General features: G+C 40.4%; 1 protein-coding gene, 1 long non-coding RNA gene and 1 pseudogene across 3 annotated transcripts in view, besides 2 other annotated features; 2 read left to right on the plus strand and 1 right to left on the minus strand.

The window, feature by feature from the left end:
• LOC105374333 (uncharacterized) overlaps positions 1-14,647 on the plus strand; it is a 33,343-nt gene extending 18,696 nt beyond the window's left edge. Inside the window, exon 2 of the long non-coding RNA XR_939851.3 lies at positions 14,385-14,647. This is a non-coding gene — a long non-coding RNA (uncharacterized LOC105374333). The remainder of the gene's footprint in view (positions 1-14,384) is intronic.
• The window catches only part of RAB10 (RAB10, member RAS oncogene family), a 104,170-nt gene that overhangs the window by 45,922 nt on the left and 34,618 nt on the right, over positions 1-23,630 (plus strand). For both annotated transcript variants that reach the window (XM_047443004.1, NM_016131.5), the window contains exon 2: positions 19,456-19,516. In XM_047443004.1, the coding sequence (XP_047298960.1) occupies positions 19,456-19,516 (61 nt within the window). The remainder of the gene's footprint in view (positions 1-19,455; positions 19,517-23,630) is intronic.
• Positions 14,932-15,433: an enhancer, noted in NCBI's record as "H3K4me1 hESC enhancer chr2:26317007-26317508 (GRCh37/hg19 assembly coordinates)". NCBI's record gives its function as "activates a minimal SCP1, AML or CMV promoter by ChIP-STARR-seq in primed H9 embryonic stem cells {active_cell/tissue: H9 hESC(primed)}" and the evidence as "EXISTENCE:reporter gene assay evidence [ECO:0000049][PMID:30033119]".
• Positions 15,434-15,933: an enhancer, noted in NCBI's record as "H3K4me1 hESC enhancer chr2:26317509-26318008 (GRCh37/hg19 assembly coordinates)". NCBI's record gives its function as "activates a minimal SCP1, AML or CMV promoter by ChIP-STARR-seq in primed H9 embryonic stem cells {active_cell/tissue: H9 hESC(primed)}" and the evidence as "EXISTENCE:reporter gene assay evidence [ECO:0000049][PMID:30033119]".
• On the minus strand, positions 22,111-22,930 carry RPS2P15 (ribosomal protein S2 pseudogene 15; annotated as a pseudogene).

The following is a 23,630-nucleotide window of genomic DNA, read 5'->3' on the forward strand; positions in this document are numbered from 1 at the left end:
ACATACTGTAAGGCTAAAGATAAAAAGAACCACATACATGTATTTTATTCTAGTTAGCAAATCTGGTTCCTCACGGAGTGGGGGTAGGAGCTAGCAAGTTTGAAACACACACACACAAACACACACACACACACACACACACACACACTATATACACATACTAGGATTAAACATTTAAGTAAAAATTTGTAGATAATGACAGCTGGGTTTCTCGTTGTTGAAGAAAGAAGTTGAAAGGAAGAAGGCTAGAATGAACTGTGGTATTGGATTGGAATTGGAGGTATCAGTATGAACTCATGGTTCAATATAGATACGTAAATGTAAATATTTCCTCTCTCTGCTGGGAAGTCATAGAAGAAATGATGCTGAGGTAGCAGTAAAGACACTTAATGCCCAGATCTTGGACTATAAATACAATTCTTTCCTCCATCCCTCCTCCCTTTTCTCCCTCCCTTTTCTCTTCTTTCTTTTCCTTTTTTGACAGAGTCTCACTCTGTCACCCAGGCTGGAGTGCAGTGGTGGGATCACAACTCACTGAAGCCTCAACTTCATGGGCTCAAGTGATCCTCTTGCCTTAGCCTCCCTAGTAGCTGGGACTACAGGCATGTGCCACCATGCCTGGCTAAATTTTGCATTTTTTGTAGAGACGAGGTCTCATTATGTTGCCCAGGCTGAACTCCTGGGCTCAAGCCATCCACCTGCCTCAGCCTCCCAAAGTGCTGGGATTATAGATGTGAGCCACTGCTCCCGGCTTAAATACAATTTCTTAATAAAAGGAACTAGGGCCCCTGAAGAACTTGTTTATTTCAGAGCTGGGGTAGGAGAAATACAGAATGATCCTGGAACATCTTGTGATTCTAGAAAACAAAGAAGTGCTCAGAAAAGGATGGGACATGTTAGAAGTACACAGGAGCTGGCTTGAAGGAGCTGTTAATGGCCAGAGCTGGAATGAAATAATGGTAGTATTGAATTAAAACCAATAGAATAAAATATCTTTGAGTCCATAGTAGCAAAAATAAATAATTGAATAAACAAATGAATGGGGTGGAAGAAACAACTTGCAAAAGCAGAATTTCAATTAAGAACTGTAAAAAGAATGAGAGAAACACCGAATCACTGTTAGGCAAATACTACACTAAAAATTGTTGCGGCAGGAGCCAGGAATGGAATGTAAAATCAGTGGGCAAAAATATGATGAGAAACATGATAATTATTTAGTCTGAAAGGATCTTCTCCAATAATTTTTTTTTGTCGTGATACATTCCTGACTTCTCCACCCCCAAATGCAAACAAACCTAAATTGAGGGAAATTCTATGCAATACCTAACCATTATTCATCAAATGTACACAGGAGTACAGTGACACAATCATGGTTCACTGTAACCTTGAACTCTTGGGCTCAAGTGATCCTCCTGCTCATCCTAAATAGTTGGAACTACAGTCACACACTACCACACCTGGCTAGTGTTTTGTTTTGTTTTGTGTTTTGTTTGTAGAGATGGGATCTTGCTATATGTTGTTGCCCAGGCTGGTCTCTTAACTCCTGGCCTCCCAAAGCAATGGCATTACAGGCGCTTGACTCCCAAGAAATTTATTAATTACCAAGTGGAAGACAGTAAATTTGCAATAGAGAGAAACTCTGTAGATACCACCTTAACCAAGTATTTGAAGTGTATTCAGGGTTAATAGCACTAGTAATAAGACCTGTTGATATGGTCTGGCTGTTGATATGGTTTGGCTGTGTCCCCACCCAAATCTCATCTTGAATTGTAATTCCCACAGTCCCACATGTTGTGGGAGGAACCTGGTGGGAGGTAATTGAATCATGGGGACGGGTCTTTCCTGTGATAGTGAATAAGTCTCATGAGATCTGACGGTTTTAAAAATGGAAGTTTCCCTGCACAAGCTCTCTCTTTGCCTGTTGCCATCCATGTAAGATGTGACTTGCTCTTCCTTGCCTTCTGCCTTGATTGTGAGGCCTCCCCAGCCATGTGAAATGTAAGTCCATTAAACCTCTTTCAATAGTAAATTACCCAGCCTTGGGTATGTCTTTCTCAGCAGCGTGAAAATGGAGTAATAGATCTGTTCATAGTTTGTACTCCCTGATATGATCAACTGAGAAAGGTAAAACTTCATATCTGTGATGTTCTGTGACATTCCTGACTCCTCCACCCCAAAATGCAAACAAACCTAAATTGAGGGAAATTCTATGGAATACCTGACTGTTAAATGTATGAAGGTCATGAAAGAAAGGGAAAGACTGAGGGACTGTCTTAAGTTGGAGGAGACTAAGGAGACATACAGCTAAATGCAATGTGGGAACCTGAATTGGATCCTGAAACATAAAAAAAGTTAAATCTGGCGAATTAGGTTTGTAGTTTAGTTAATTGCACCAATGTTATTTTCCTGTTTCTGATTGACGTACTTGGGTTATATAAGTTATTAACATCAGGAGAAGTTGGATAAAGAGGTATTTGTGAACTGCGTACTATTTTTTCAACTTCTCTGGAAAGTTATTTCGAAATAAAAAGTTTCTTAAATTTACTTTCAAAAAAGGAATTTAAAAAAGGAAACAATGTAAGCCGCAAGACAATGGAGTAATATTTAAGTTCAGAAAGGAAAAGCTATCAATTTAGAATTCATTCCTGACAAAAATATCATTAATAAAGGCAAAATACATTTTTCAGACAGACAAAAGCTGAGAGAATTTTTTACCTGTGCTTTTAAGGAATGTTAAAGGAAGTGTTTTAGCCTGAAAAAAATTATTCCGGATGGAAATCGAAACTTACACAAAAGGAATGAAGATGACAGGAAATGGTAAAAATGTGTGGAAATAGAAAATATTTCTTCTCAATTTTTAATTTATTTAAAAGATAATTGTTTACAGTAAAATATTTTAATGTTTTATAGGATTTATAGCACTTAGCAGTAAAATGTAGAAGTGTAACAAAGAAATTTTAAAAAACAATAATAGCCCAATGATGGGAAGGGGAAAAAATGGAAGTATAATTCTGTAAGGTTCTTATATTATGTTAAAAGTGGTATAATACCATTTGGAGGTAGATGGTTCTAGTTACGATGTTTATTATGAGCCTTAGAGAAACTACTAAAAAATATACTGGGCACATCTAATCAGCGACCAAATCTTAAAGTTGGAGTGCTATATTAATATTAGACAAGGTAGATTTTAGAGCAAGGAGTATATTTCTAGAAATAAAGAGGATCTTTTTATAATGATAAAGGGGTCAGTTTGTCATATATACCTAATAACAGAATATCAAAATACTTGAGGCAAAAACTGACAGAATTGGAAGGAGAAATAATCTATAATTGTATAGTTGGATATTTTAACAGTCCTCTCTTAGTAATTGATAGAATAAGTAGACATATATTTAAGAAATGAGATCTTAATTTAAAACCTTTCTGAAAGAAACCTCAGGCCCAAATGGCTTCACTGGTGATTTATATCAAATGTTTAAAGAAGAAACAATATGAATCTTAAACTCTTCCAATAAATGCAAGAGGGTATGCTTTCCAAGTTGTTTTATGGGATCAGCCTTGTCTTGGATACTAAAACTAAAGATATGACCTATCCCTAATGAACATAGAGATTTTTTTCAAGAACATAATAATTATTAACTAAATAATTGCAAACCAAATCCAGGAATTTATGAAAAGAATAATACATCATGACTCAAATGGACTTTATTCCAGGAATGCAAGGTTGGTTTCACATTTAAAATCAAAGTAATTAGCTGCCTTAATGGAGTAAAGAAGAAAAATCATACCATCATAGTAGGCATAGACAAAGCATTTGATGAAATACACCTCATGATAACTCAGGAATCTAGGAACAGGAACATTTGTTTAATGTGCTAAATTTTGTACAGTTAACACACTTTAATGGCAGAGCATTTAGTCTAGAGCTTCCTAAGGTCAAATAAAGAACAACAGTATATTAGAGGTTGTAGATAATAAAATAAAGCAAGAGAAATAAGTCAGAAGATGTAAACGTGCCTTTATTTAGACTGTGTTGTTATATACATAGAAAATCCTAAATAACCTACCTTCTCCACAAAAAAAGAGCAACTAGAATTAATAAGTGAATGTAACAGGTTGCAGGATACAAGGTCAGTGTACCAAAACCAATTGTATTATTTTTCTTTTTTCTCTTTTCTCTCTTCTCTCCCCTCCCCTCCCTTCCCCCTCAGCTTTCCCCTCTTCCCTCCCCTCCCCCAAAACCTTCCCCTCCTTTCTCCTTTCCTTCCCTGTACTTTCCTTTTGTCTCACTCTGTCACCCAGGCTGGAGTGCAGTGGCACCATATCAGCTCACTGCAACCTCCGCCTCCCAGGTTCTAGCAATTCTTATGCCACAGCCTCTGCAGTAGCCGGGATTACAAGTGTGTGCCACCACACCCGGTTAATTTTTTGTATGCTAGTAGCTGGGATTACAGGTGTGTGCCACCACACTGGGCTAATTTTTTGTATCTTTAGTAGAGACTGGGTTTTGCTGTGTTGGCCAGGCTGGTCTCGAACTCCTGGCCTCAAGTGATCTGCCCACGCCGGCCCCACAAAGTGCTGGGATTACAGGCGTGAGCAGCTGCACCTGCTTAATCAATTGGAGTTCTGTGTTTAGCAGCAAACAATGAGAAAATGAAATGTAAAAATATATTATTTACAATAGCATCCAACAAATGAAAATGAAATGGGGATAAATTTTAAAAATATATGCAAGGCTTAGACATGGAAAACTACAAAATATCGCTGAGAGAACTAAAGACAGCCCAAATAAAGAGAGCTATACCGTATTCATGGATTAGAAGGCTCACATCACTCTGCTCAAAATGCTCCCTGTGTTTCTTGAACATGCCAAACATATTTGCATGTCAAATCCATTGTACTTGTTATTTTCTCTGCCTGGAACACTCTCCCCAAATAGTCACATGGCCTGTTCCCTTACCTTAAGGTCTTTGCTCAAATATCTCTCAGTGCGTCATTCCTTGACCACCTCATATAAGATAGCTCTTCCTCCTGTTCTTGTTCATAGGATTTATTATTACTAACATCAGAGATTTGAAATTGGGGGGAATGGGTAATACCCTTTCATAAGTTCCCCCAACAGAAGGACTTTGCCTTATTCATTGCCAAGTGTGTAGTAAGTGTGGTTTACCCTACTGAAACTCATGTTACTATAATGTGAATTAGCTTATAGCCAATTGTTAAAAAGTGAATGATATCGCAATAATGAGGAAATCATGTTGGGTCATATGTGCTTTTCCCTAGTGTATTATGTTTTGGTACATGGTACACCATGTTTTGGTACATGGTACGTGTTTTTGGTACATGGTATACCAAGTACATTATTATTACAGTTGATTGCAGCAGTATGTCCCAGAGGAATACAAAAGTGTGCACATGGAATTCATCCCTCAGCCTTGCCATTGGTACAGTTTGGCCAAGGGAAGTTTATAAGGTTCTATGTAATTTTTGTACATTTTACCCCTTCAGTTTCAGTCGTTATATCCCTTTTCATCGAGTTACCTTCATCTTTTTTAAGGGTAAAATTCGATACTTATGGTTGCTTCTTTATTAAGAATTCATGTATTTTTAATAGTGCTAGTATTTTTAGTTTTCTGGACAAAGTTGCTTATGAGTAACTACCTCAAACCTAACTTTTCTTATAAGCCTGATTATTTTTAATTTGTGATTTTGCAGAACTAAAGGGTTATTTAGGAATGTGTATATTGCATTGTACTAGAAATGCTTGTATTATCCCCAGTTACAACTAGTCTCTTAGTTGTAGTTGGCAAAAGTTCAATTTAGCTTTGATTCTGTCACCCAGAATTTTTCAGTATCAAGGAACTTCTTCCATCTCAACCCATTTCAGAAATCAAAATGAGTGGAGCTACAGCATGTGGCAAAAGGAATAATGGATAAAATAATTGGACTTCATCAAAATGAACTCTTGTGCATCAAAGGGCATATTAAAGTGAAACAACAGGCCGGGGGCAGTGACTCACGCCTGTAATCCCAGCACTTTGGGAGGCAGAGGCGGGTGGATCACTTGAGGGCAGGAGTTTGAGACCAGCCTGACCAACATGGTAAAACCTCATCTCTACTAAAAATAAAAAAAATTAGCTGGGTGTGGTGACGCGCGCCTGGTATTCTGGCTACTTGGGAGGTTGAGGCAGGAGAATCGCTTGATCTGGGAGGCAGAGGTTGTGATGAGCTGAGATTGCGCCACTGCACTCCAGCCTGGGTGGCAGAGCAAGACTGTGTCTCAAAAAAAAAAAAAAAAAAGTTATGCAAAAAGACAGCACTTTCAGGTCACCAGCTTGACCTTCTTCCAAGTGTATTTTCCTTCGCTTTGTTCCTGCTCTAAAGCTTTTTAATAAACTTTCACTCCAGCTCTAAAAAAAGAAAAGAAGTAAAAAGACGGTACAGAATGGAAGAAAACATTTGCAAGTCATGTATCTGATCAAGATTAAGATTCCAAAATATATAAAGAGACTGGGCACAGTGGCTCACACCTGTAACCCCAGCACTTTGGGAGACTGAGGCGAGTGGATCACCTGAGGTCGAGAGTTCGAGACCAGCCTGACCAACATGGAGAAACCCTGTCTCTACTAAAAATACAAAAAAATTAGCTGGGCATGGTGGCGCATGCCTGTAATCCCAGCTACTTGGGAGGCTGAGATAGGAGAATCACTTGAACCCAGGAGGCAGAGGTTTCAGTGAGCTGAGATCACACCATTGCACTCCAGCCTGGGCAACAAGAGCAAAACTGTCTCCAAAAAAAAAAAAAAAAAAAGGGGGGGGGCAAAGGGGCCCGATGCGGTAGCTCACGCCTGTAATCCCAGCACTTTGGGAGGCTGAGGAGGGTGGATCACCTGAGGCCAGGAGTTCAAGACCAGCCTGTCCAACATGACAAAACCTCATCTCTACTAAAAATACAAAAAAAAGTAACTGAGTCTGGTGGCAGTCCCCTGTAATCCCAACTACTTGGGAGGCTGAGGCTGCGGTGAGCTGAGCTTACACCATTGTACTCCAGCCTGGGCAACAAGAGCGAAACTCTGTCTCATAAAAAATGGGCAAAGGACTTGTGGAGTTCAAAGACGTACAAGTGATCAACAAACACATGGAAAGTTCTCAACATCATTAGTCATTAAAGAAATGCACATAAAAAACCACAATGAGGTATCATTTCCTACCCACTAGGATGGCTATTTAAAAACACAAAAGGAAAGTAACAAGTATGATTGAGGACGTGGAGAAATTGGAGCCCTTATACGTTGCTCATGTGAATGTAAAATGGTACAGCCACCATGGCAATTCCTTAAAAAGTTAAACTAAGGTTTCCCATGTGACTCAGCAGTTCCACCTGTTGTGTATGCCCAAAAGAATTGAAAACAGATACTCAAATACATGTATATGCATATTCATAGCAGCTCTATTCATAAAAGCCAAAAGGTGGAATTTAACAGCTCTATTCATAAAAGCCAAAAGGTGGAAACAATTTAGATTTCCATCAGGAGATGATTGGATAGACAAATTATGGTGTACGCATACAGTGGAGTATTATTCAGTCATAAAAACGGTATACTAATATGTGCTGCATAATACGGACGGACCTTAAACATACTAAGTGAAAGAAGCCAGACACAAAAGCTAACATGTTGTTTGCTTCTATTTCATGAAGTATCCAAAATAGGTAAATCCACTGAGACAGAATACAGATGAGTGGTTTCCAGGGACTGGAGGGGAGGGGAGAATGGGAAGCTGCTGAATGGATATGGGGTCGTTTTGAGGTGATGAAAACATGTTGCAACTATTTAGAGGTGGAGGTTACACAACATTATGAATTGTTCACTTTATTTTTTCTTTTTTTTTGTTCGCTTTAAAGTGGTCAGTTTACTGTGAATTTTACCTCAAAAAATAAAAATGAACAGAACTTAGTGTAGGTTAAAAGCATGCATGGTATGAATCAGACATGGTACTGAATACTGGTTCTGCCATCTGTTAATCCTGCAACTTTAAGTAAATTACCTTGAACTCCCTGTTTTATAAAATAGGCATATTGGTACTCTCAGGATTTTTATGAATAGTGAGACAGTATATGTGAAATGCTTAGCACTCTTAGTAATTACCTAGTAAACATTAGTATTACTGCTGTTATTGCTGCTGCTGCTGCTGTTGTTGGTGTTACTATTATTATGACGAATTTTCGCTCTCGTTGCCCAGGCTGGAGTGCAATGGCGCAATCTCGGCTCACCGCAACCTCTGCCTTCTGGGTTCAAGTGATTCTCCTGCCTCAGCCTCCCTGGTAGCTGGGATTACAGGCGCCTGCCACCATGCCCAGCTAATTTTTGTATTTTTAGTAGAGACGGGGTTTCACCAGTTGACCAGGTTGGTCTCAAACTCCTGACCTCAGGTGATCTGCCCACGTTGGTCTCCCAAAATGCTGGGATTACAGGTGTGAGCCACCACGCCCAGCCTTTCTGCTGTTACTTTTTATTTTATTCCTCATTTGCAGAAAGGAAATAATACTATGAACTAGGATTATCCTGAGGTTTTAATGAGTTAATCCATGCAAAGATCTTCTAACAGTGCCAGGCACATTGTAAAATGTTAACTACGCTGTTACTATTATTACACAAAAGGATCTTTAGAGGAAACTTTCACATTCTACATTTTCACATCTGCATACAGATAAAGAAACAAATACCCATATTGGAAAATGACCTTTTCAAAATGTATACTGTTAGTAACAAAGCTAAGACTAGAACCTGGTCTTGAAATCCAATGCCTAAGCGGCATTCAAACGATACAGGTGTATGATTATTTCCTTTCCAGGTAGGTGGAAAACACTTGATTTTCACTTGTTAAAAACCCCAGAAATGGATCATTTAACTATAAATGATGGTTTGGTTATTTGGTTGGTTGGTTCTGCCTGCATTAATTACTGTGTATTGATAAGTCATCAGAAGCCAAGCTCTGGAAAACTGATAGAGTGGCTAGAGGTTGCAGTTACTCCTCTTGCCACTGGATGGTGCTTCTGCAACATCATTAAGGCAGATATGGTGGCTGATACTGTTTTTCTCTTGAGCAGCTAAAAATTGAAATACTCTTGAGCTGGGCCCTAGGAATCTGTAAAAAGTGAGAATTTCCTTTAGTGTGTTTTTACATAAGCAAAACCAAAAAAGGAATCACTGTTTGGATCAAACCCTGTGATTTCTGTGCTAATTTAGCAAATGGTAATGTTGCAGGAGAGTCTGATTATTTCTTCTGACAGAATTTCAGAGGGTGGTAGGCTTTTCTAGCATCTCTTATTAGCTGAGCTATTGACTTTCCTCTCATCTCTCAATTTTATAAGCTTTTCCACCCTGTTCATCTTTAGTTTAACTTGTCCCCCCACCAAGTTGGAGTCTTGCGAATCTTGCTCTGTCGCCCAGGCTGGAGTGCAGTGGTGCGATCTCGTCTCACTGCAACCTCCCCCTCCCCGGTTCAAGTGATTCTCAAGTGATTATCCTGTCTCAGCCTCCTGAGTGGCTGGGATTACAGGCGCCCGCCACCATACCCAGCCAATTTTTGTATTTTTAGTAGACACAGGGTTTCACCGTGTTGGCAAGACTGGTCTCGAACTCCTGACCTCGTGATCCGCCCACCTGGGCCTCCCAAAGTGCTGGGATTACAGGCATGAGCCACCATGCCCGGCTTATCTTCAGTTTTTCTTAGGTGTTTGCATGTGGGTATATAGGGTGGGGGAGGGTGGAAAGTACACACTAATGAAACCATGATATTTACTTGAAAAAAGTTTAGCGCTATGAAAGTTGTGTTTGAATGTGACTACAGGAGAAAAACTGGAGGGAATAAGACTGGAGAGGTGGCTTGGGGCCATGCTCAGAAATATATTTATTCATAGAGAGTGATGATTGAGGCCGGGCACGATGGCTCATGCCTGTAATCCTAGCATTTTGGGAGGCCAAGGTGGGTGGATCACTTGAGGTCAGGAGTTCAAGACCAGCCTGGCCAAAATGGTGAAACCCTGTCTTTACTAGAAACAAAAATTAGCCGGGCATGATGGTGGGTGCCTGTAATCCCAGCTACTCAGGAGGCTGAGGCAGGAGAATTGCTTGAACCCAGGAGGTGGAGGTTGGAGTGAGCAGAGATTGCGCTGCTGCACTCCAGCCTGGGCGATAGAGTGAGACTCTGTCTCAAAAAAAAAAAAAAAAGAGAGAGTGATGGATTGAATTGAAGTGGTTAAGCAGTGGAGAGAATGCATTTGTAAACATACCTCCTTCTCTGTTAGCCTCATTTTTATTTCTATTAATAGGTACAGATTTTTAGAAGTCTTATTACTTCAGGGCTGTGACAGTGAAGCAGCAACTGCAACAACAAATTCTTGCCCTGTATGCACCTGTGCCTTACCTTTCCCAAACATTTTTAGGCTTTTTCTTCTGTTATTCAACTCCATATTCTCTAGTCATATGTTTCTAAACTTTAAAAAAACCTAGTCTTAGAAACACTCTTCTTGTTATGGAAGATGAGAATTTAATACTCTTACACCACCAGATATTCCTGGCACCTCTTTCTTAATCATTTCAATTAGTAATAAATATTTTGGTTAACTGCTAAGCCAAGTAGTGTACTATAATTGCATTTTCTTTTTCGGACAACTTTTTGTTTTTTTGTTTTTATTGTAGTTTACAGTTCGTTGTTACATTTGCCTAGATTTCAAGGCACTGTCTCTTCTTTATCTCATGTAGAATTGTCAGATCCTTTTGTTTTTCATATAAATTCTAATACTGTTTCCTCCTTCCCACTCCCAGGAAAAATCCCCCCTGGAACTTTTCTGTTCTGAACTGGTTGCTCTCTAGGCAATTTTGTCTACCCTTTACTTCACACTGTTGAATGGATTTCATTTCTTCCTCTTTGTTGGTTTGGTAAAGCAATTTCTTAGTGCTATCTTAGAAAGGATGCATGGGAGCTAAATATTTTGAGATCTTCCATGTCTGGGAATGCCTTTCATTTGGTTTTGGCTGGATATAGGTTGAAAGTATTTTTAAAAGATACTGTCATTTTGTCTTCTGGATTTTAGTGTTATTGAGAAGTTGAGAGTTGATCTTTTAAGGTGGCTTAGTTTGTTTCTGCGCATACTTTTATAAACTATTTCTGGTATTTTGAAATTTCATTGTGATGTACTTTGGTGTAAGTTTTATGCTTATTGTTCATTATGCTAGGTTCTTGGTGGGTTTTTCAGTTTAGAAGTAGATTCTTTTAGTTCTGTTTTCTTGCCTTTTTTTTTTATTATTTTCTATATGTCACTTTCTCTGTTCTTTTTCAAACTTCTGTTAGATGTCAGACCTCTTGGTTTGCTTTTCTAATTTATTATGTCTCACACTGCCTCTGTTAACTTTTTTTTTTCCCTTAATTGTTTTGATATCTGGCCGGATGCAGTGGCTCATGTTTGTAATCCCAGCACTTTGGGAGACCAAGGAGGGCGGATCACATAAGGCCAGGAGTTCAAGACCAGCCTCCCCAACATAGTGAAACCCCCTCTCTACTAAAATTACAAAAGTTAACTGGGTGTGGTGGCACAGGCCTATAGTCCCAGCCGCTCTGGGCACTGCAGCAGAAGAAAGGCTTGAACCTGAGAGGTGGAGGTTGCAGTGAGCTGAGATCATGCCACCGCATTCAAGCTTGGGCAAAAGAGCGAGACCCTGTCTCCCCCCCCAAAAAAAAAAAAAAAAATTCTGATATCTCATTGGAACCTTTGGCCTGAGGCGCTAAAAAGCTGATGGAAAGCAGAGTAGAAAAGGGTGGGGCTTGTCAAGTGATGTTTCAAATTAAGGGCAAAACATGTTTCTCAGGGACTCTTTAATTTCTCCAGAAAACATCATTTATCTGTTTATTTGACAGATATTTCTTGGATTGCCTGCTAAATGTCAGGTATTGTTCTAGGTATGGGGAATTTAACTCAATTAAACAGATAAAAATCTCTACCCTTTTCAGTCTCACATTTTGGCAATGAGAGATGAATAATAACAGAAATAAGGACACGTTAAAGTTTAAAAGTCAGGAAGAAGGTTAGAAGTGTTAATAGACAATGGGTGGGAAACATAGAGAAATATTGCAACTTAGGGTAGCTAGGGGAAAGAGCCATGATGGATGAGAAAGGTAGTCAGAGGTTAGGGGAATAGTACCTTTATGGAAAGGTAGTGAGAGGCGAACCTGGCTGTCTTGTGCATAGAGCAACAAAAAGGAAGTCAATACAATTAGCTAGATCAGAGTGAGATGATGTAGAAAATGTTGAGGGCAGGGTAGAGAGGGGTAGGTGGGAGAATATGTAGGGCCTTATTTATGGATTTAAAGAGTTTTCCTTTTAGTCTTTGTAAGAGATGGGATATGGAGATAACTAATAAGCAGTTGGGTATCTTGGATTTGGAGTTCAGGGGAGAGTTGAGGTGAGAGATCATCAGTGTGTATGTGGAATTTAAAGCCATGAAACTAGGGAATGCGTCAAGATAGAAAAGAGAAGTCCACTTCAGTTTTTAGGGGTCAGAGAGATGAGGAGAAACCAGCAATGAAGATTGATGAGTGGCTAGAAAGGTAGGAGAGTCAGGAGTTTTCATGCAAAAAAGAGTGAAGAATTCCTTCATCTACAGCTAGTAAGATCAGATGAGGACCAGGCATGGTGGCTCATGCCTGTAATCCCAGAACTTTGGGAGGCCAAGGTGAGTGGATCGCCTGAGGTCAGGAGTTCGAGACCAGCCTGGCCAACATGGTGAAACCCTGACTTTACTAAAAATACAGAAGTTAGCCATGTGTGGTGGTGCGTGCCTGTAGTCCCAGCTTCTCAGGAGGCTGAGGCAGGAGAATTGCTTGAACTTGGAAGGCAGAGGTTGCAGTGAGCTGAGATAGTGCCACTCCACTCCAGCCTGGATGAAAGAGTGAGACTGTGTCTCAGAAAAAAAAAAAAAGAAAAAAGATCAGATGAGGACTTAGGAATGATCATTGGATTTGGGAACATGGAGATCATTGATCATAGTGAGAGCTGTGTGTGTGTGTGTGTGTGTGTGTGTGTGTGTGTGTGTGTGTGTGTGTGTGTGTGTGTGTTGGGGTGGTTAATAATAACAACAACAACAAAGCCTGTTTGGAAAGGATTCAAGAGGTGAGAGGAGAGAAAACTAGAGACAGCACATATAGGTAACTTCGAAGAAGTTTGGTAAAAACAAAAAGTGAAATAGAGAGGAAACTTAGTGAGGAAGGATCCTTAACCTCCAAATTTAAAAGGTTTAGTAATAGAACCTAGTAGTTGTGATTATTGACTAGAAGAAATGTGAGGGAAACTCAAGGAGTCCAAAATGAGGCTTCTGTCTTGACCAGTTAGATTAAGTAGGTACCTGAAAACAGCCCAAATTCTTAGACATTTTCCAGTGATGCCTAGTTTCCATGCCAGGGGGTTTAGCGCTTTCAGATTGTATCCTTATTTCATCTTTCTTCAGGCAAGTTTCCTGAAATAGTATCAGTTGTCACACTTGTCATTAAGATTAATTAATAAATTGTATACCTAGCTGAAGTTGTTGGTCATGTTCAGGGTTAGTCTAGACAGCCGGGTCATTTTAGGATGATTTTCTGAGAAATTCTTAAAGAAAAACAATATGGACTGTAGAAGTAGGGTTAGGTTAAATGGTGGGTAAATGACCCTTTTTTCTTTTGATTGTGTATGAGAAACATAATGGGGCAAGCTGAAAGATTTTGACTGATTAAAAAGCAGACTGGCTCAAATTAAGAGGGGAGCAATAAGGTAAACCCAAGAGTTTGAAGGGATAGGGGCATTATTGTAGATTCTAGGGATAACAGGTTTTGTTGAAGGTTGGTGTTAAACCATTTCTTGGTGAGAGGTTAGTTATGAAAAATGAGATGCAGAGTAGAGCTAAGGTATGGGCAGGAAACTCACTGAATGATATTGTTTCTTCCTTTTATATGGTGAGCATTTCCCTACCCCAGGACCTCTTTGCAGAAGTTTATGGGCAAGGACTTTGTTTTCTTTTTTCTTCCGTGGATCCCCAGAATATTTGGACCAAAAATAATTTTTTCCCTGGAAAAATGTATGAAGTCTTTATTTGAAGTTTTAATTATTGGTGTATACTATCATCCATCTGCCATGGAAAGACAATGTCAGCAATATGGATCAAACCAATATTCTTTAGAAACACATAACAGGTTTTAATTATCTCATAATATATATTTAAGATTGCAGCACATATTTTCTTCTGAAGTTCGATTTACCTTTAGGTCTGTTTATGTATTTAGATTGCTTAATTAAATGTTCACTATCAGTTGAGGCTTGCATAGATACCTCTTTTGTGTTTGTTCCACAGGAGCAAAACTGAATCTCGAAAGATAAATGAAGTTTACCAGGAAAAGAAAACTGGGATGAGGAGAGGATTTACGAAGTAGCATATGCTAAACGAGAGACATGAGAAAACATGATGATCAGGGATGTCATGTAGACTGAAGACTTTGATACTAAGAGGCATTTTCACAATTTTATCCTGAAAGCATAGAGAAAACAAATCAACTTGTCATTTTCAAAAACTTACCCTGGCTGTAATCTCAATAAAAGGACATCTTTTAAAGTCAAGCTTTATGAAAAATTTACTACCTTGTTTTTGTTTTTCTCATGTTTTTTATTTATTTTGAGGAGTGGGGTGTTAACTGTGTTGCTCAGGCTGGAGTGCAGTGGCATGATCACAGCTCACTGCAGCTTCAACCTCCTGGACTCAGGTGATCCTCCCACCACAGCCTCCCAAGTAGCTGGGACTACAGGTGTGCACCACCATGCCTGGCTAATTTTTTTGTAGAGATGAGGTTTTGCCTTGTTGCTCAGGCTGGTCTTAAACTCCTGGACTCAAGCAGTCCTCTTACCTTGGCCTGCCAAAGTGCTAGGATTATAGGCATGAGCCACCACACCCAGCCTTTTTCCTTACTTAAAAAAAAAGCCCCCTTATTTCATCCATTTCATTTCATCTCATTTTTTCACTTCATTTTATGTTTTTGAGACAGAGTTTCATTCTTGTCACCCAGGCTGGAGTGCAGTGGCACGGTCTTGACTCACTGCAACCTCCACCTCCCGGGTTCAAGCAATTCCCCTATCTCAGCCTCCCAAGTAGCTGGGATTACAGGCGCCCACCACCACACCCGGCTAATTTTTATATTTTTAGTAGAGATGGGGTTTCACCATGTTGGCTAGGCTGGTCTCAAACTCCTGACCTCAGGTGACCCTGCCGCCTCAGCCTCTGAACGTGCTGGGATTACAGGCGTGAGCCACCGCACCTGGCCGTATTTATTTATTATGTATTTTTTTGAGACATAGCTTTGCACTGTTGCCCAGGCTGGAGTGCAGTGGTGCGATCTTGGCTCACTGCAGCCTGCGCCTCCCGGGTTCAAGCAATTCTCGTGCCTCAGCCTCCCGAGTAGCTGGGATTACAGGCACGTGCCACCATGCCTGGCTAATTTTTGTATTTTTAGTAGAGACGGAGTTTCACCACATTGGCCAGGCTAGTCTTGAACTCTTGACTTAAAGTGATACCCCCGCCTCAGCCACCCAAGGTGCTGGGATAACGGGCGTGAGCCACTGTGCCCGGCCCCACTTAGTAATTTTAATCATGTTAAGTAATTATTGCATTTGAAAATTTGGGGGTTCGGTTGTCTTTGTTAACTTACTCAAAATGGGTAAGTTTTATGTGGCGTTTAATGTTTCTTAATTTAATGAGCTAGTATTAAATAGAGTTTTATTTGTGGGAATCCTGTAGGGTCTGAAGAAAGGATTTGTACCTTCAGACAGTTTTTACGTTTGCTGTTAATAGCCAAGGATCATTTTTTATGTATTCGGATTGTCAAATCTGAACCATGAGGCCTGGTATCAGAAACTTCCTTATGATCGCCCTTTGCCAGTGAATAGTTGTGTTTTGTTTTTTTCCCTAGGCAACTCTCACTAAGATTGTAGTCCTTTCTGGGTTTCAGGCAAAGAATTTATTGGTTCCAATTACTTAAAGCCTCCAGACCTAGACCTTTCATCGTGTTCTCAGTATGGCTGTTAAAAATGCAAGCTCAGGCCGGGCGCGGTGGCTCATGCCTATAATCCTAGCACTTTAGGAGGCCAAGGTGGGCGGATCACGAGATCAGGAGATCGAGACCATCCTGGCTAACACGGTGAAACCCCGTCTCTACTAAAAATACAAAAAATTAGCCAGGCATGGTGGCGGATGCCTGTAGCCCCAGCTAGTCAGGAGGCTGAGGCAGGAGAATGGCATGAACCCGGGAGGCGGAGCTTACAGTGAACTGAGATAGCGCAATTGCACTCCAGCCTGGGCGACAGAGCGAGACTCCGTCTCAAAAAAAAAAAAAGCAAGCTCAGGTTGGACGCAGTGGCTCACGCCCGTAATCCTGACATCTTGGGAGTCTGTGGCAAGAGGATCACTTGAGCCCAGGAGTTGGAGCACCAGCCTGGGCAACATATTGGGACGTCGTTTCTACAAATAATACAAGAATTAGCTGGGCAGGGTGGCACATACCTGTAGTCCCAGCTACTCAGGAGGCTGAGGTGGGAGGATCACCTGAGCCCAGGAGGTCGAGGCTGCAGTGAGCCATGACTGACACTGCACTCCATCCTGGGTGACAGAGCGACAGCCAGTCTCCAAAAAACAAAACAGAACAAAAAGCAAGCTCTTTGGTTTTGTTCTCACAGCCCTGCCACTGCCGAAGTGCAAGTAACGCCTATTTATCTGCTCTGGTTTTCAGTTCCGTCTTTATTTCTGGTGTACAGCAATTTCTCTTGGAGAAATTTATTGCCAGTGTGCTTGATATATGAAACATTTCTGGATGTTTTGTAGTGAAATAAGTTTCAGTTTATTGGGACTGCTCTATTGCTGGGATTGAATAACTCAAATTTGTCTGCAAATTTACTTAATATTCCTTTTATAAACAGATGTTAGCCCTGTCTTTCACTTTGCTTTTTACTGTCTTTTTACTCCATTTATTGCCTTCAAGTCAAATGGACTATTGCTGTCATTCATAACATGATACAGTCACAGAGCAGCTTCAGAATTCTGATGTAGAAAGTGTAAGGATGTATGCCAGAACTTTAGAGTATTTTTGTAGTGTGCTTGCCATAGTGGGTGGGTGGGCGGATGGATGGCTGGATGGATGGCTGGCTGGCTGGATGGATGGATGGATGGATGGATGGATGGATCTTCTAGTAATGTTTAGTTTGCGGCTTATGCCTTTTTCTGGATTGACTTTGTTTTGAAGGTACCTTTTTCTTTCTCTAGTAACTTCTTTTCTACTCTGTCAAGTTAAGCCCTATAGGGAACTACTTTTGAAAACTTGGCTTTTTTGATCTTTGGAACATACTTTAAGAATTACTGACTTAACCTGTTCTTTTGGTATTTGACCCCTTCTGAAACAATGCTTGAATTTTGTTACAGTTTTATTTCCTAATGTGAACTATGAATACTAATATAATACTATGAATTTCTCTCTGAAATATTGCTTTAGCTGTATCCTACAAATTTTGATATTCTCATTTTAATTCATTTCAGAAATTTTCTAATTTTCACTATAATTTCTTTTTTGACCATGAATTTCCAAATATTTGGGAGTTTTCCCAGATGTATTTCTGTTATTGATTTCCAGTTCAGTTTTGTTGCAGACAGAAAACATACTTTGGGCTGGGTGCGGTGGCTCACGCCTGTAATCCTAGCACCTTGGGAGGCCAAGGCCGGTGGGTCACTTTGAGCGTTCGAGACCAGCCTGGGCAACGTGGCAAGACCCCGTCCTACAAAAAGATACAAAACTTAGCTAGACATGGTGGCTCGTGCCTGTGGTCTTAGTTACTTGGAAGGCTGAGGTAAGAGGATCACTTAAGCCGGGAAGTGGAGGTTACAGTGAGCTGAGATCATGCCACTGCACTCTAGCCTGGGTGACAGAGCAAGACCTTGTCTCAAAACAAACAAACAAAAAACCAGAAAATGAAAACATACTTTGTATGACCTCAATACTCTTTTCTTTGTTTGTTTTTGAGACGGAGTCTCACTCTGTCGCCCAGGCTGGAGTGCAGTGGCGCGATCTCAGCTCACTGCATCCTCCACCTCCCGGGTTCAAGTGATTCTTCTGCGTCAGCCTCCCAAGTAGCTGGGATTGCAAGCATGCCCTACCACACCTGGGCATGGTATTTTTGTGTTTTTAGTAGAGACGGGGTTTCACCACATTAGCCAGACTGGTCTCGAACTCCTGACCTCAGGTGATCCGCCTGCCTTGGCCTCCCAAAGTGCTGGGATTACAGGCGTGAGCCACCGTGCCTGGCAACTTCAATACTGTTAAATGTGTTGAAACTTCTTTTACGACCCTTATGTTTTCTCTTGATACATACTCAGTCTGCACTTGAAAATGGTATGTATTCTGTTGCTGTTAGATGGAGATTTCTGTATATGTCAGTTATGTCAAATTGGTTAATATAGTGTGGTTTAAGTCTTCTGTATCATTATTGATTTTTCTGTCTACTTAAAGAAATCTGGTTTTGAGGGAAAGGATGTTGAAGTCTCCAACTATAATTGTAGGTTTATGTATTTCTCTTCGCAGTTCTATTAATTTTTGCTTCATGCTAAACATTTGTATTTTTATCCCTTCCTGAAGAATAGACTGCTTTATCATTATGAAATGACCCTCTATCCTTGGTAGTTTTCCTTTGTTCTGCAGCTTAGTGAAGGCAATATTTTTCCCCCACTAGGAACCTTTTTATTCGTATGTGTTAGAATATTAGATATTTTAAATTTTACTTTCTTATATCCTAATTTGTAAAAACTCACTCTTTCTTCTTTTTCTTTCTTTCTTTCTTTCTTTTTTTTTTTTTTTTTTTTTTTTTTTTGAGACATGGTCTTGTTCTGTTGCCCAGGCTCAAGTGCAGTGGCACAATTAAAGGCTCACTGCAACCTCTGCCTCTTGGGTTCAAGGGATTCTTCCACCTCAGCCTCCTGAGCAGCTGGGACTACAGTTGTGTGCCACTATGCCTGGCTAATTTTTTGTGTTTTTAGTATTTTTGTATTTTTAGTAGAAACAGGGTTTCACCATGTGCCCAGGCTGGTCTCGAACGCCTGGGCTTACACCATCTGCCCACCTCAGCCTCTCAAAAGTGCTGGGATTAGAGGCGTGAGCCACCATGCCCAGCCCAAAACTTGGTCTTTTCTGTATCTATTTTTCCTCCTATCCTGGATCTTGTATTACTCAGGTTTAAAATTGGATACATTTGCTCAGTGTTGCATACTTGGTGAATATCTGGAATCAAACAAACACAGACAAGTTTAAAAGGTGTGAGCGTTTTTACTGTGATTAATTTTAGTATAGCCAAATGTAAAGCCACAGTTACAGTTTACCTTTTTTTCTGCATTGTAGGAATAGACTTCAAGATCAAAACAGTTGAATTACAAGGAAAGAAGATCAAGCTACAGATATGGTAAGTGATGCTAATTTACTTTATGTAGCAGAATGTCAGGTTCCTTAAGGTTTCACAGTGAAATTCTTTTTTGTCACAGGTTTAGATTCTGTGAGACTTTTGTTTTTAAAGCAGGCAGTCAGGTGACCTTTTTGTGCAGTAAAAACCATTGCATGGACTTAAGTCCATGAGATCTAATAATCTTTTCTACTTACCGTGTGAACTGAGGCAGATTATATACTCATTATTAGGCTTTTTATCTTCATATGTAAAGGGAGATAGTAACACCCGTCTCAATGGATTGTTACAAGGATTACATGAAATAATATATGCAAAGTTTTTAGTGAAATGCATTGCGAAAATGTTTGTTTTCTTTAATATGTTTTTAACTTTTTATGGGCATTATTTTTATTAGTTTGTGTTAGGTTTGCCTGAAGAAGTACAAACCTTTGAATTTGTATTTGTCTGAATCATAGAATTTAGAATTATAATGGCAATATTTTCCAGCAAATGTGTATTATGTATATTAACCCATTAATTACTAAAAAGGACCCTGTGAAATCTGTTACTCCTTTTGAGAAAACAGCTTTATTGAGGTATAATCTAACTGATATAGAATAAGTGCACATAAAGTGTAAAATTTGTTAAGTTTTGACATACGTATAAACCTGTAAAACAATCACCAGTCAAGATAGTGAACATATTTGTCACCTCAAAAGTTTCCTCAAGCCTCTTTGTGATCTTTTGTAATCCCTTCTTCCCTGCTACCCCTGGTCCCCAGGCAGCCACTGTGCTTTCTGTCACTGTATTTCTGTTTTTTGTTTTTTTGGGTTTTTTTTTTTTTTTTTTTTTTTTTTGAGGTGGAGTCTCGCTCTGTCGCCCATGCTGGAGAGCAGTGGCGCTATTTCGGCTCACTGCAAGCTCTACCTCCCAGGTTCACGGCATTCTCCTGCCTCAGCCTCCCAAGTAGCTGGGACTATAGGTGCCCGCCACCACACCTGGCTAATTTCTTTTGTATTTTTAGTAGAGACGGGATTTCACTGTATTAGCCAGGATGGTCTCGATCTCCTGACCTCGTGATCCGCCCGCCTTGGCCTCCCAAAGTGCTGGGATTACAGGTGTGAGCCACTGCGCCTGGTCAATTTTTTTTTAACATTCTAGATCCCATTTTCATTTATGTATTTCAAACTTTTATACTTTTCAACATGACTGTATCTACCCCGCAGAATGACCTAGCTCCTTGATTTTAAAGTATCCTTTTCCTGGGTCCTGTCCTGGGTCCTACCCGGACTCTGATTATACCATCCCCCACCAGTTGTTAAGGCAATCAATAGTTTATTTCAAATCAGGGAACAGGGTCCTTGCCTCACTATTTCTAGGCTTACTGATGATCTGTTGCCCAGGGCTAAAAATAGCCACAGCTGCTTGTTTATTGGTGACATTATTTTTAGGTTTGCATACACACATATGCCCAAGTCTAATCCAGTCCAGCAGGTCAAATCCAATAAGCAAAAGAAGGTGTTAAATATCTGAAGGGACAATTAAACATTGTACATGTTCACAGTATCTTTTTATGTCACCATAATACAGGTTTCTAAGCCTGCTTTCAAAACTACTCTCTTATCCTCTGCCATTAAAAAATTATTCCCTGACAGTCTACTTAGTAAGATCAAGTTTCTGAAATTACAAGACAATGAGAATAGAATTGTCCTTACTTAAAGTAATAAATAGACAGCCAATAATTGCTGTGAAATCCTACTTTTCCCACTGACATTATAAAAAAGAAGTGATACGTTTCTAGGAATTAAAAAGGTATATTTCCTTAATTGTTAGTACCACACTTGGGGTTGGGGAAGCTGTGTACTCTGGCTGTTATTGTGACAGTTATTTTTGGTCTGGGCACTGACAAAACCAGTACAGGCCAGAGGCATATCAATCTGCTCTGCAAGGCAGAGACCCCAGATTTCATAACCCTGTGTTTTTTGGTAACATAATGAAGTTATTCCTTACCTTATAAATTAGGATGTCAAATTTCTCATGTTGCATTTTATTTTAAGAAGACCTGGATGTCTTCAGAGATAAACAATTTGTCTATACCCAAAATACCATGAACTTAAATTATGTTTGTCTTCATTCAAGGATTTTTTTTTTTTTTTCCCAAAAGTAGACAGCCTGACACCTGCCCTGTCAGAGCTCACACCCATAGGGACAGGAGCAAACAAGTAAATAAATATATCACAAATTGTGATAAATGCTAGCAAGGTGAATAGGGTAAAGTGTTGGAGAATGGGGTAAGGATGAGGGAGGAAGTGATCTAGATAGAATGATCAGGGAGGTCCTCTCTATAGAGGTGATGTTTAAGATGAGAAGTGAAATACGAACAGTAAGCAACCAAAGTCATTTAGTCAATAAATGTTTGTTGAGTATGTATTTGCCAGGTGTTGGTGGTAGGAATATAAGCATAAATCGGACAGATAGGAGCCCTGCCTGCAAAAGCTTACATTTTAGTGGGGTAAGTCTAGATCTTACTATGCTTTTTACCATGTTGCCCAGGCTGGACCCTCTCCCTTTTCAGAGTCCTAGTTAATTCACTATATTTTTCTTGTATAAAAGCACTACATAGCAGCCACAGCTGGAGCCTGGGTCTTCTTCATGGAGACTCCGGTATGGGTCTTACAAGATGGTCAGTGAATTCCTGATAGGGAGACTCATTGAACGTGTTGTCTTTCTTGAGGTGTTGGGGATGAGATAGCTATAGGTCTTGAAGATAGTATTAAAGGTGACCTTGGCAAAGGTGCCTAGGGTAGCAGTGTAGCTCCTGGTGGAGGTGTAGCAGTCATTGATAGGGGTCATCAGCAGCAGCTTTTGGGCACAGGGGCGGGCAGTGCTTCTAGGGACTGGGATGAGGCCACCAGCACAGAGCTGCAGTGGTTACCTGGCAAGGGACTGTGGGTCTTAATGATCTTGTTCCCCAGGTAGCTTCACTGCACATGGGAAATGGAGAGGTTGGCCAGTGAATGGTGGCCTGCAGATGGCAGGGACTACTTCCTTGGAATACCTAACACACAGACTGATGTGACTCTTGTCCCTGACTGTGACAAATCCCTTGAACCTGGTCCACTGGCCAGCATAGGTCTCTTTTTGCATGGGCATAATCTTCAAAACCTCATCTTTGAGGACATCCTTAGGAAAAAGTGAACGATCTCAGACTCCTTGATGGGCGGGGAGAATAGAGAGATTTCCTCCAGGAACTCGTCATGTCTTTGATCAGGTAACCCACCTTGGTGACAGAGAGCTATTCCTTGTCCTTGTCCTTGCCTCCTTGAGCTCCTAGGCCTCAGCAGCAACCCTGGCCCAGTCACCACTCCTGAAGCCTCCCAGTCTAGGGCCCCTAGTGCCTTCACACCCTCCCATGATAGTGGCAGGATCTGCCATTTGGTATTTTCTCTGAGAAGGCTTAATCTCTTTTCTTGCTCTGCTTTCTGTTTCCTTAACACTTAATAATTCTCTGACATTCCATAATGTTTTATTTATGTGTTTATCTTCAATAGGCAGGAATTTTTATTTCATTTACAGCTTTATCTCTTGTGCCTGGAATAATGTCTAGTGTGTAGTACTTAATAATACTGGTAGAATGAAAGAATGGGATATTGTCTTATTTTCCAGGGCAGATCTATATATTTTGAGATGAAATGAGCAAGTGACTGGGCTGTGATTTTTTTTTTTCTTTTTTCTTTCTTTTTTTTTTTTTTTTTGAGACGGAGTCTCGCTCTGTCACCCAGGCTGGAGTGCAGTGGCGCTATCTCGGCTCACTGCAAGCTCTGCCTCCTGAGTTCATGCCATTCTCCTGCCTCAGCCTCCTGAGCAGCTGGGACTACAGGTGCCTGTCACCACGTCCAGCTAATTTTTTGTATTTTTAGTAGAGACGGGGTTTCACCGTGTTAACCAGTATGGTCTCGATCTCCTGACCTTGTGATCCGCCCACCTCGGCCTCCCAAAGTGCTAGGATTACAGGCGTGAGCCACTGCCCCTGGCCAGGCTGTGATTTTCTTAAGATTAAAAAGTCCAAGTCTTTCACTTAGCTAAACACCATTTTATTTTACTTACATAGAAATGGGCTACAGGCAAAGCCAGG

Source organism: Homo sapiens, chromosome 2, assembly GCF_000001405.40.
Source record: "Homo sapiens chromosome 2, GRCh38.p14 Primary Assembly".
Taxonomy (NCBI): Eukaryota; Metazoa; Chordata; class Mammalia; order Primates; family Hominidae; genus Homo; species Homo sapiens.